This window comes from Homo sapiens, chromosome 7, assembly GCF_000001405.40.
Source record: "Homo sapiens chromosome 7, GRCh38.p14 Primary Assembly".
In the NCBI taxonomy this organism is placed as follows: Eukaryota; Metazoa; Chordata; class Mammalia; order Primates; family Hominidae; genus Homo; species Homo sapiens.
In genome coordinates, this window is record NC_000007.14 from 117287075 (window position 1) to 117300951 (window position 13877).

Sequence of the window (13877 nt, forward strand, 5' to 3'; positions counted from 1 at the left end):
ACGGTGGCTCACACCTGTAATCCCAGCACTTTGGGAGGCCAAGGCAGGCGGATCACAAGTTCATGAGATCGAGACCATCTTGGCCAACATGGTGAGACCCTGTCCCTATTAAAAATACAAAAATTAGCTGGGCATGGTGGCGTGCCTGTAGTCCCAGCTACTCAGGAGGCTGAGGCAGGAGAATCGCTTGAACCCAGGAGGTGGAGGTTGCAGTGAGCCAAGGTCGTGCCACTCTACTCCAGCCTGGGCGACAGAGCGAGACTGTCTCAAAACAAAAACAAAAACAAAAAGTTACTCTCATCTGCTGCATTGGCCTTTCCTGTAACTCCTTCCATCAGAAGTCTTCCCATCCTTCCAGATTCAGGCCTACTTCAGCATTTTCTATACAGCACTTTCGGTCTGCAAGCCCAGCTAACCTCCTTCATTAGGCCTGTAATGCACATCACGCCACAGGGTTCATGCACTGTTTGGAAATATTTGATCATTTTTTCATGCATCTTGTCTCCCCAGGGACAGGGGTTGGGTCTTATGCTTTCTTCTTATGCTTTCTTCTATATACTGTGTGGTCAACACATATGTGCTGATTTATTAAATATTACATTAAAAATAGTGTCTTAAAAATTTAGATCAAGGCTGGGTGTGGTGGCTCATGCTTGTAATATCAGCACTTTGGGAGGTCAAGGTGGGCAGATCACTTGAGGTCAGGAGTTCAAGACCAGCCTGGCCAACATGGTGAAACCCCATCTCTACTAAAAATACAAAAATTAGCTGGCCATGGTGGTGGACACCTGTAATCCCAGCTACTCGGGAGGCTGAGGCAGGAGAATCGTTTGAACCCAGAAGGCAGAGGTTGCAGTGAGCTGAGATTGGGCCATTGTACTCCAGCCTAGGTGACAGAGCAAGACTCCGTCTCAGGGAAAAGAAAAAAAAAAATTAAGATCAGCTTTCCTTTTGCCTGATGAGGGCACATTTCTCCAGGGACTGGTCACCCAGTCTTCAGGCACCATGGTGGCAGCAGACCAGCTAAACCTTGGCTCTGTTAAAATGATCTTGCTTGGTATATGGAAAACACATACCAAAAACGTGGCACATTTTTAAATGATAGAAATTAAAAATGACAACTTAAGAAAGTTTGTGGTATCAATTTAAGGTTCTGTTATTGCAAACTTAATTAAACTTAATAATTAATTCATTCACTTACTGAATCAAAGGAACCTTAGAAATTGCTAGATGAAACAGCCATTTCTTAAGAGACCCAGAGAAGTTAATTTGCCCATTAGTCCAATTGGAGAAATAGTGATATGCAGCAATCTGTAGCACCAAAGTCTCCTTATAGATCACACAGGGCTCTTTCCCTAATAATATGAAATTTGCATATCTTTAAAAAAGATATTTACCAGTACAAAATAGGTGTCATGGGGAAAGCTTAAATGAAGTAAGCAAATTTGTTATTTTAAAGTATTTTAACGTCATCCTTTTGTTTGCAACACATTTAATTGGTAATTCGAAATGAGTAGTTTCTATTTCCAAAATACAAAGATAAAAGGGCATCTATTTGGTAAAGTATTTGTCAGTAGTTCAAACTATGTCAAAGAATTAGAAATAAGAAAATAAACATTTTTTTCCTGAAAAGTATCTTTTTTTTTAGAAAAAAAATCCTTTTTTCAGTATTCACAATTCAATCTGATTACCACTGTCAATTCAAATTAAGGCACATTTTAGTGTATCCTAAAAATATAGTAATTCTACTAAGTTTGTATTTTAAAAATAACACAGATTTATAGATTCTGCCTACAACATCAAAGAGCATTGGATGTGAAAAGTATTTTTGCTGTTAATATGAGAATTAGGAACTACTCAGGGAGGCCACTGATAGTAGTGAGTGAAAAATGCCCCTCCAAGAGTAAAAGAACTGAGTCTCTGCTGCCAGTTAAAAGCGATAGATATAGTCTGCTGATGCATTAGTTCACGTTAGACTTTTTTTTTTTTTTTTTTTTTTTTTTGAGACAGAGTCTTGCTCTGTTGCTCAGGCTGGAGTTCAGTGGCACAATCTCGGCTCACTGCAAGCTCTGCCTCCCAGGTTCACGCTATTCTCCTGTCAGCCTCCTGAGTAGCTGGGACTACAGGCGCCCACCACAACGCCCGGCTAATTTTTTTGTATTTTTAGTAGAGACGGGGTTTCCCCGTGTTAGCCAGGATGGTCTTGATCTCCTGACCTCATGATCCTCCTGCCTCGGCCTCCCAAAGTGCTAGTATTACAGGCGTGAGCCACTGCGCCCGGCCCACTTGAGACTTTTTATCTCCAGGGGAATAGCCAGGCAAGCAACATCTGAAACTCCATAAATGCCTCATGAATGCGCCTGAATATGAGGAAAAATTCCATTGAACACTTAAGCTTAAATGGGAATTTTCATAGGCTGTGAGTTAAAAGCTAAGCAGTGCTGGGTGGAGATGTGCCTAGTAATCCCCTTCAAAGGAACCAAGTTATCTTTAAGCTATGAAGCAGCGCTAACACACAGAAGAATGCAGCTAATCTAATGAAACTGTTTTATGTTTTTTTATAATTTGCCATTCAATTCACTTCAACACATGTTTGTGTACTAGGAGTTGGGGAACTAGTGAGCAAGGCAGATACAGTTCCTGCCGTCACAGGATCCTCAGTGGACTCCATTGGTACAGGCAGGTCACAAACACATGTTTATACAAATTCGCTATACACACTGTGGCACATGCTATGCTCAAAAGAACATAGCTCTGTTTGGACCTAGGGGTTGGTAGTAAGGATGGAGAAGCAGATAGGTCCTTGACACATTTAAGAGGTCCCAGTGGTACCCGGGATGATGGAGGTGACAAGGAAGGAGTGTAAGGAATGACTCGCAGGTTTATGCTTGACCATGGAAGTGGGTGGCAGGCAGTACCATTTTCTGAGATGAGGAGGGCTGGGGGAAAACAAGTTTCAGGGGACAGGGCAAATAAGGAGTCCAGTTTTAAGCAGAAGCAGGTTGATATAATTGTATGAAATCTGGGTGAAGCTGTCAAGCAGGGAATTGGATACAGGATGATGGTACAGAAGGCAGACAAGGACAGGGACAGCATTTAAAACCATAGGAATGGAGAGACCAAACCAGGGAGAAAGTACAGAGAGAGAGCAAAGAGAGTTCAGACAGCCTGGAAGATCTTCAAAATTTGGAGAAGGAGAAACTAGCAACTGAAATCAGAAAGGACTAGTTATTGGAGCAGGAGGAAAAGCAGAGGAGTGTAGTTATAAAGTCAAGGAAATAAGACTGTTTTGGGAAGGAGGGAAAGGCTAATTATACTATATGCCACTAAAGAGTTTGAAAAGAAGGCTCAATGGATAGTAATTACTACTAATTCTAGAGTATAATCAATAACTACCCATGAAAATGGTGACTTATAAGCCTCAGTGAAACATTTTTTTCTACAATTCTCTTCTGGTCTAGCTATCTTAGCACCTTTTAGATATCAATCCATGAATTTCTATAAGTGTCAAAGCAGAAGGAGATGAATAACTTATTCTTTACCTTGTCAAAATGACATATATAAGATAAGACCTTATAACAGAGCAATGCAACAAGGACTGAAACCTAAACACCACCACTTTCCTGCCCCAGTGTGAGGGTTCTCCAGCACCTAGACTGTGTCCCAGTGCCTGGCTACTGCTTCAAGGACCATGAAGTCGATGACACCACGAGGATAAGGACTGAGTCTGTTTTCCTCAATCCTGCGTTCCCAGTGATTATAAGAGTGTCTGGCACATAGGAGGATCTCAATCAATATTTGTGCAATGAAGAAATGAGGGACTTAAGGTGTACAGGTTAGAACTTCACATATTAGTATCTAAGTAAGATCCACCCATTGCTATTGGCTGACATATTTTTAATCATGTTTAATCATTAAAAACATGTTCCCTTGTTTTTAATCAGCTGGTGGGACACAATCCCGGCATTCATGAGCTTCTGCAAAGTAGGCCACACCACTGGGCATGAGAGAACACCAGTCTCTGAAAACCATGATTGGGATTGTGTACCCATGGGTTCTGAGTTCTGTTTGCCAAATATGATTTATGTGGGGGAAAAATGTGATACCTCGGTGCTTACACCATTCACAGCCTGGAGTTGTCAACCAGGCTTTTGGGTTTTTCGCAGGCAACAAATTAAACAATGACTGAGCTCCGTTTGTTTTTTGAACTTGACTGGAGAAGAGGTGGAGTGTGGCTTGTTTCCTGCAGTTGGAGAGGAGACCTCAGGGTGACCTCTGGCCCAGGTCAGGGTTTTTACATCATAACTAGTGAAAGTGGCCTGTGATTAGGTGCAGACGCATTCTCTGGAGGGGAGAGCAGCAGCATTCCTCAGTTAGAGATGAACCTATCTGTACCTTAAGGGCTTCTTTGATTTACAGATGCCTGGAGCAGTAACCAGAGTAGATAACTATAGAGCCACCAGGATACTCATCCCAGACAGTCCAGCTTCCAAGATCTAGCCTCCAATTTGGCCTGCAAAATGTCACATGCACAACATCACACGGTTGTACGTACTCTTCAGATCTGAGCTGCATGGGGCGAGTAATTATAGTTGAACCTCAGAGCACTCACTTTCTTCAGTTGAAGACTAGAGGAAAATGTCTTTTGCTGTTGTTCTTGCCATAATAATATCTTCCTTAATTGGTTTTTAAGCTTACTATTTCTTTTCTCTTTTTTTTTGAGACAGAGTTTCACTCTTGCTGCCCAGGCTGGAGTGCAATGGTGTGATCTCGGCTCACCACAACCTCCACCTCCCAGGTTCAAGCAATTCTCCTGACTCAGCCTCCCGAGTAGCTGGGATTACAGGCATGCACCACCACGCCTGGCTAATTTTGTATTTTTAGTAGAGATGGGGTTTGTTCATGTTGGTCAGGCTGGTCTCGAACTCCCAAACTCAGGTGAGCCGCCCTCCTCGGCCTCCCAGAGTGCTGGGATTACAGGCATGAGCCACTGCCCCTGGCCAGCTTTCTATTTCTTAGGAGCAATCAAAGGCATTGACGCTTTTGAAAATCTGAGGGGCTTGTAATTGAAAAGGGCTTCAAGGCAACCTAACCAAAATGTGGGTGAAGCTTGATTCTGATTACTTTTGACCTCCCCTCTTTGTGGGCACCTCACCCCATAAAGTTCCCATGTCCTCATGCTGCCTCTTCATCACACAGGACCTACTCCCAACCACACTCACACACACACACACACACACACACTGGGACGTAAGTGGCACAGTGAGAAAGGTATGGGTTTTTGTTTTTATTTTTTTTATTCTCACAGGCCATGCCATCTTGGGCAAGTTAAGTAACTTTGCGGAACCTCACTTTCCTTCTCTATAAATGGAGGTAATTGCCTTGAAGAGTCAGAGCATATGTACATAAGGTGTGTAGCGCAGGGCCTGACTCGCAGCAGGAAATCAACAAATGTTCTCGCATCCTTCTCCAGCTAGGTCTGTCCCCATCCAGGAATAACCTGGGGTCTCGACTCTGCAATTTTTCGCATCAAAGTTCACTAGCCTAGTAGCGTTACTTCAGGACTTCTCTAGAGGCTGACTTGGTAACTGCTGTCAGTAAAAGCTTTGATGGCTGAAATAATTTTGTTTATTTGCAGTCAAAGAGGGTTCCTGAGGATGCTGGCCTAGGAGTGAAAGAATGACTCTCTTATACTGGGCAAGACATGGTGGGAGATGTTTTTTGGGAGATGTTTATTTAGAGTTATCTAGTTTTCCTTAGCAAGAAATCAGGTACTGAAAAAACATATATATATGAAACTCATGTCTCCCTGAATTTCTTCTTGCCTAATAATTAGGGAAAATTAGGAATCATACACTGCCTAAATCACTGATTTTTCAAACTTTGAGGTGTTTAAGTTTGAAAAGTTTGCAGAGGCAGTGCCAGTGGACTCAGCCACTTGGGAAGCTCAGGTGAGAGGATCACTTGAGCTCAGGAGTCGGAGCCTGCGGTAAGCCACGATGGTGCTACTGCAGTCTGGGCAACAGAGCAATAAAAAAAAAATTAAAATGATGAAAAACAGAGAAACTTATATAATTTCGGGAACAGCTCCCTAAGATGCTGGTTCAATAGGTTTCTGAAGAGCCACTTCCTTTGGAAAAAAGTAGACCAGACCTGTAGACTGCATCAGTTGCACAAACCTAATTGATAAAACAAGCCAGCTCACATCAGTCAACAAGCTACCTTGGACAGGAAGCAGTTGCTGACCAGCAAGAGTAAAGCCAGTCAGTTCCAAATACTGATTCCCTAATAATGTTCAACCTGCTCACCACCATCGCTTCCCCAGTGCTGGCAAGTAGAAGGCGCCCACTAAGTTGAATATTAAGTGTGCACGATTTAAAAACAAAAGCAATGATGGAAAGCAAAGAAAGAAGCAAAACCAAACAAAATAACCACAACGAAGTAGAGTGAGCAGTATGAGATGCAATGTCAGGAAGGGTTAATGCTGATTTTAAAAGAGAAAATGAAAAACAAGAAATTCTATATTAATTACTTGATTTAAATTTGACTGCAAACTTTTGACTTGTTTTGGAGCCTGGCTATCCCAGGATGATAGCCCATTTTGAACACGTGAGAGTTCCGTTCACCAGAAAATAGGCCTTTCCTAATGCAATAGGATTTTAGCACGGTGGGGTTGGGGGCCTCGGTGGTGTGCTTACTCAATAATGTGTGCATGCTGGTAGCTCTCCAGTGCAGACTGAGAAGATGATACACTGACCCAACACCTTCATTTTGAGAAGAGAGAGGCTCCCAGATCCCACTGAGTGAAAGGCAGCTTTAAGGCCCCTTCTTACAGGTCTCAGATTCTCTGTTACACCCCCTGCCTCTACTAACCAGAGGTTAGAGGACACTCCAGGATGACTCTGTTCTCTCCAGGATGACTGACTTGCTAGAGCACATGCTACAGAAATTTCTAGTAGAAAGTGGCCAGGATAAAACCTCAACTTTATTTATTTTTTATTTTTTAGAGATGGGGTCTCTCACTATGTTACCCAGGCTGAGTTTGAACTCCTGGCCTCAAGTGATCCTCCCGCCTCAGTCTCCCAAGGTGCTGGGATTATAGGCATGAGCCACTGTGCCTGGCCAAGCCTCATCCTTAAAAGGCCATTGGTCACATAACCAAGAGCAAGGCCCTCAGCAGCCATATGGATGGAAGCAGGTTTTCTCAGATAAAACTTGCATCTCATACATCTCATACATGTGGCTAATTGCATATGACTCCAAATATATACAATAAAAAAATTTTAACTATCTGGACTTGTGCTTGCATAATATCAAATATCCTAAATCATATTTTTACTAAAATAATCATCTGATGGTCAACAGAATTAAAAAGAAATATTGCAAGGTTTGCACCAACCACTTTGGCATTTTCTTAGGCTCAGCCAAAAAGGACATTAACTAAGTACAGTTCAAATAATTTATAAATAATCTAGGAATCTTACTGGAAATCTGATCCAATATATTGGAACTGGCAACTAAAAAAAAAAAAAAAAAAGAATAGGGTAGATCTTGGTTAATCAACACCAACTGAGAACCAATTTCAAATTTTTTAAAGTCAGATAAGCTAAAATTTGTCTAAGACAGAAGACAGATAAGAGAGAAAGTAAGTTATATAGCTTTCTTCAGAAAGCCAGCACCTGCGGCTGTGTGCAGCGAGAGGCAGAGTAAAATCGTTGTTGAAAAGACAGCCACAGCCAGGTGCAGTGGCTCACGCCTGTAATCCCAGCACTTTGGGAGGCTGAGGCAGGTGGATCACTTGAGGTCAGGAGTTTGAGACCAGCCTGGCCAACATGGTGAAACCCCGTCTCTACTAAAAATACAAAAATTACCCAGTCGTGGTGACACATGCCTGTAATCACAGCTACTTGGGAGGCTGAGGCAGGAGAATTGCTTGAGCCCAGGAGGCGGAGGTTGCAGTGAGCCAAAATTGTGCCACTGCACTCCAGCCTGGCCAACAGAGCGAGACTCTGTCTCAAAAAAAGAAAAGAGAAGAGAAGAGAGACGAGACGAGACGAGATGAGATGAGACGAGACAAGATGAGATGAGACGAGACAGCCAGGCTCAGGTTTAAGTCCCTGATCTGCCTCTTACTAACCACAAGTGGGTAGGGAAAATCTTTAACCTCTTAGAGCTTCAGTGTCCTCCCATAAAATGGGATAATAACATACTCACCTTATAGACTTTCTGTGAGAGTCAATGAGAGAATGTAGCTGCAGCTCTGGCATGTGATGGGTACTACAGATATATCTGCTATTTTAGGATTAAGAAAGAGAATTTCTTTCTAATACAAAGAGTTGAAAAAGCGGAGTACGCAAGAATAACTTAGTAACTTGAAGAGGCAGCAGGGATTAGATTCAGAATCACCTCTGTGGGGTAAAAAAAAATATGGTCTATATTTCATTGACAATAAATGTCATACCTGTTATACCTAAGGCAGTACATATTCCTCAGGTACACCAGCCTGCTTCCCTGTGCAAACTGCTTCAATCCAAAGAACCAGAAAAGACATGCTGGGGAAGAGGGTCCTCTTATATTTGAAATAAGGTTTTTGCTCCCCAAGGCCTTTTCACATATGTGTCCTTGGAGGCAGGCAGGAGCAACTGTCTAATGGGTCAAAGCACAGGCCAAGGGATCAGACATCCACCCTCTCCTACCGGTGAGATCGTGAGCAGGTCATTCACTTTTCTTATCTGTACAATGGAGAAGGTGATATCTAGGGTTGCTTATCTGACTTAAAAAGTAAGATGTGAACGTGGTTCTTGGTTGGTGTTGATCATCTAGGAGCCACCTCTTATTCAATTTTTTCTGGTTAGTAACAAGTTTCAATGTATTGCTGTCATAGGGCTGCTGTAAGGATCCTACTGTAAGGATAAAATAAGACCATGTGTGCAATGATCTCAGCCCAGTACCCAGTGCACAGGAGTCAATGCATAGGACTTAAATGATCAAGACAGCAGCATCTCCATGCTCAGTGTGAGGAGGCTGAGGTTAAACAGCTAGTGACTGGTAGAGGGGGGTCAGACCCCTGGGACAATCCTGTATCCAAGCACAGGTTTCATGGTGATTTGGCTATAACTTTGGCCTGACAGGTAGGATGACTTGTTAGAGGTCCCAAAGCATGTCAGGAATGCAGCGGGGCACAGCATCTGGTCCTCTGCTCCGTTGTCATTAATCCCTGGGCTGCATGTAGCAACCTGCTCAAATGCTGCGGAGAACTAGCTCATCAAACCATGAAGGCAATTCAACCACTCAGGGGCAAAAAAAGGCTTTGGCTTCCTTGTGACATTCCCTGGTAACTTTGCCTCTTGGTCAATCTAACTGACAGCTGGCTGCCATCCATACCATTTTATTGGTGCCTCTGCAATTATTTTGAAATAAAAAAAAATCAGACTCTAAGAGGATTTTTTTTTCTGATAATGAATTCCTTTGCTTTCTACCAAGTCTTAGAAATTGACTTGGGCTGTGGACTCCCATCACCTCCTATGAATTTAGACTTGTACTCATTCTTATTTTGCACTAGAATCTTTACAAAGAATGAGCTAAACCTGGAGCTCAGGGTTGATCAAGAGGAGTGAGAGGTAGAGCATGAACATGTGTAAACCTGATAGGTGGGACAGCTGCGGTGTTGAGGCTGACAGAGCTGTTCTTTGAGGGATGGAGAAGGTACCATCTGGAAGGGAATGGTGTGGCTTTAATAAATGAAGGGCCTCTGACACAGCCTTTATTATACACTGCCCACCTATAGCCAAGAGAGTGGGGATACATTCTTGCTTTTTATCTTTGGCAATTTCTAAGCATATTGAAAAGAGCAGGGAAGGTGAAGTAGGGCAGATTTCAGAAGAGTCTAAATTTAAAGCCCTGGGACCATTTTCCATAGTCACAGTGGTGGGATTTAATGTATCCTGCTCTCAGCTTCAGGATCACATGAAAGATGCTGGGCTGCTCTCCCTAGTGTGCATAGTCCACTAACTAGAAATCTGCCCAGGCTGAAGAATTTTGCTAATCTGCGTATCTTGACTTTTTGCCCTGGACATTGTGGGGTTTCAATTTCTCCAGAATCTGTGCACTGTCAATCCATTTCTCCAGTTGCTTAGGAGAGCTCTCTGTGCAGTTTCTTTTCTTTTCTTTATTCTTTTTTTGAGATGGAGTTCACTCTGTCACCCAGGCTGGAGTGCACCTCAGCCTCCTGAGTAGCTGGACCACAGATGCGCACCACCATGCCCAGCTAATTTTTTGCATTTTTGGTAGAGATGGAGTTGCCCAGGCTTTTCTTGAACTCCTGAGCTCAAGCAATCTGCCCATTTCGGCCTCCCAAAGTGCTGGGATTACAGGCATGAGCCACCGCGCCCAGCCCTGTACAGTTTCAATAAGAATGATAAGGATCGTGAGCTTTGAACCTAAAGAGAGCAGGCTGAAAATACAGAACCTCATTTAAATTGTGGAGTATCAATTGTTGAAAGAATTAGGTACTATAAAGAAAGTCTTTTGAACTTACCTGCCTCTCGGTCCCTGATACAGTAGTCTGGAGAATTCTCAAAATACACGAGGTCATTTTTCGTTGGCTTCTTAAACCTCTCGTTAGCCACAGTGAAACCTGTGCCATCCTGGTTCATGACCACCTGGATGGCCCCATTGTACTTCCTCCAGAGATAATCGCCCGTTTTCCTGAAGTCGGCCATGGCCAGCCAGCATGTCCTGAGAGTACATGAGCCGCTCACCCCGTGGCACTTGCACTCTTGTTTCAAGAACCGCTTTACAGCCTGCCGAAAAAGACAGGGGCAAGTTCAGTGAGGTTCGAGCAGGTGACACATGCTCCAACTCTCCTTACCTCCCAGCAATCCAGAAGTGATTCTCAGGATGCTGGATCCTGGGGCAAGTGACTGGGAAATGTTGAAGCATTGCTTGTCACTTGTTAGCCACATTAGCCACCTGCCCTGACTGCAGCAGGCAGGGGCAGTGGGTGGAGAGGGGAGGGATAGCACCTAACTGTGTACCCCACTGGCTATCAGTATAACAGAAACCTCACAATTTAACAGGGCATGTGGCCAGTTAGAAGAGTGAGGGATTGAATTATTTTCTAAATAAATAGAGCTTTATTATATTAAAAATGTATACTATCCAATTAATGCTGTCCAGTTTAAAATAAAATAATATAAAAATGTATGTATTATGCAAATTAAATTAACAAAATAACTGCTAAGTCCGAATCCTGCAATAAACCAATCAGGGTAATTGTACTATAGCAATTCTATGCTACTGTATTTATTTTGCAGATGACCGAGAAGCAAGGCTGAGAGAGGTGGAAGCACTCACCCAAAGTTACACAGCCAGGAAAAGACAGAGCCAGGCTGTACTGCAAAGTCAGTTAGTGACCCTGAGGCTGACAGTAACTTGGGGAGATTCAGCTTAGATGACAGGGGTGGGTTTGCTTTGATCTTTCTTAGACAGGAAGCAAAGGAAACTGGGACAAGCTCATCTCGGCTGGCTCCCAATATAGAGACCCCTTTTCTGTGGGTGCGAGGCCTGTGGAGAGGAGAGGGGACAGGTGGGCCTGAAACTTCCAGGGAAGCTTCTGCTTTGTTTTCATGAGCCAGCAGAGCAGCACTTTCCCCAAAGCAATTTGGTGAGAGTTATCCTGCCCTGGCCCATTTTCTCCTTTGCTCACTCAAGTGAAGAGATTATTAGCACTCCTGGTCCTCACAACAACTTTGATCTACTGCTCTTCCCATTTTATAGATGAGGAACCAGGGATGGGGAAGGCAGGTGACTTGCCCAAGCTCAGTAATAAGAATTCACTCCCACTCTCCCCAGGTCGGGCCTTGGCACTAGGTGTTTTTCCCACTTTACCCCCACCTCCGTTGTGGATGGGGTACCCACTACATTTGAAATTTATCCTCCTCAGCACGAGCCACCCCTGGAGGGCAAGGATGGAGAAGTGAGCAGGAAGCATGTGCTTAGCTTGGCTCTCCCAGTTACAGGGACCTGGGCATCTTTAAAGGATGTCTTAGAATGAAATTCCTCTTCGGAATTACACTGCCCCATGTGCCCCACCCCCATCTTTATATTATGAGTGTTTGGTAGGAAGCTCACAGGATGGCCTGGATGGCAGGCCTCTGCCACAGACACAACCCTGGGAGTGCCATCTGGGCTCCACCACTCTTCCCCATGTGGCTCTCACCTGTCCAGGAGCTGTCCCTCCTAAGATCTTGGAGAGCACCACACAAAACTCACTCCACATCAAGTACTTAGGAATTAAATATGAATGCTCATTCTTCCAAGTTTATTCTTTTTAAATCTAGGTTATTTAATCATAAGTAATATCCCTAGCTTTAAAAATGACAGGAAATATTACTGCTCCTCCTCTTCTTTCTTTCTTTCTTTTTTTTTTTTTTTTGAGACAGAATCTCACCCTGCTGCCCAGGCTGGAGTGGAGTGGTGTGACTGTAGCTCACTGCGGCCTTGAACTCCTGGGCTCAAGCGATCCTCCTGCCTCAGGCTCCTGCATAGCTAGGACTACAGGTGCATGCCACCATGCCCAGCTAATTTTAAAAAATATTTTGTAGAGATGGGGGTCTCACTGTGTTGCTGAGGCTGGTCCCTAAGTCTTGAGTTCAGGTAATCTTCCCATCTCAGCCTCCCAAAATGGTGAGGGATTATAGGTGTGAGCCAATGCATCTGGTCTGCCCTCCCTTTCTAGTATTGAATTTCCAGATCATAAACTTCAAAACTGATATTTTTATACAATTAATTGAAGAATTTGCATATTAATTTAAAATTGGATCTTAAAAATAACATTATAAATCCTTAAAAAAACATGTGGTGGTGACAGGATCATCTGTGCAACCTCCTCCCTTCCTTGCTAACAGTTTTTGTTCAGATGTTGGGCAGCCTTGTGTTACAAATGACTTCTGACCCCAGAGTAGTCTAAATCGCTAATAGTAATTTCACTGTCTTGCCACTAACTTTTTTCCAGCTTGGAGCATGTGCTGATTCAGTTTGGGCCAATCCTATGATAGGAGAAATCTCTTAGGAGTCTTGTAAAAAAAAAGTTTCTTCACTCTTTATTTTTTATTTATTTATTGTGTTTTTGAGACTGTGTCTTGCTCTGTTGCCAGGGTGGAGTGCAGTGGCGCGATCTCAGCTCACTGCAACCTATGCCTCCCTGGTTCAAGCGATTCTACTGCCTCAGCCTCCCGAATAGCTGGGACTACAGGCGCGGGTCACCACGCCTGGCTAAGTTTTGTATTTTTAGTAGAGATGGGGTTTCACCATGTTGGCCAGGATGGTCTTGATCTCTTGACCTTTTGATCCACCTGCCTCAGCCTCCCAAAGTGTTGGGATTACAGGCGTGAGCCATCGTACCTGGCCATGTTTCTTCACTCTTTAAAAGAGACACGTGAGGTGGGGGCACGGTGGCTTATGCCTGTAATCCCAGCACTTTGGGAGGCTGAGGCAAAAGGATCACTTGATCCCAGGAGTTCAAGAACAGCCTGGGCATCACAGTGAGACCCTGTTTCTACAAAAAAAGAAAAAACTAGCCGGAGGTGGTGGCACGTGCCTATGGTCTCAGCTACTCAGGAGGCTGAGGTGGGAGGATCGCTTGAGTCTGGTGTTTGAGGCTGCAGTGAGCTATGATTGCATCACTGTACTCCAGCCTGGGTGACAGAGTGAGACCTTGTCTCAAAAATAACATATAATAAAATAAAAGAGTCACATAAGAAGAAATACCTTGTCTCTGTCTCTAGATGCTGGTTTCTGCAGCAGCCTCTCTGCAACCTGAGGGCAGCAATGCCGACAGGCAGCAAGCTGCAGGCACACTTGACAGATGTGAAGAT

The 13877-nt window shown here is 43.7% G+C and overlaps 1 protein-coding gene and 1 long non-coding RNA gene across 4 annotated transcripts in view; one reads left to right on the forward strand and one right to left on the reverse strand.

The window, feature by feature from the left end:
• WNT2 (Wnt family member 2) overlaps positions 1 to 13877 on the reverse strand; it is a 47608-nt gene that overhangs the window by 11624 nt on the left and 22107 nt on the right. For both annotated transcript variants that reach the window (NR_024047.2, NM_003391.3), the window contains exon 4: positions 10538 to 10802. Coding sequence is in view for 1 of the 2 variants with exons in the window: in NM_003391.3 (NP_003382.1) it covers positions 10538 to 10802 (265 nt within the window). In the remaining variant the exon portion in view is untranslated. The remainder of the gene's footprint in view (positions 1 to 10537; positions 10803 to 13877) is intronic.
• On the forward strand, positions 53 to 13873 carry LOC124900596 (uncharacterized). Of its 2 annotated transcripts, none has more exons than XR_927899.3 (3): positions 53 to 91; positions 11316 to 11461; positions 13788 to 13865. It is a non-coding gene; the product is annotated as an uncharacterized LOC124900596 (long non-coding RNA). The 2 variants fall into 2 exon arrangements; XR_927898.3 differs by lacking the exon at positions 53 to 91 and adding an exon at positions 3754 to 3835 and having other exon boundaries at positions 11316 to 11402; positions 13788 to 13873.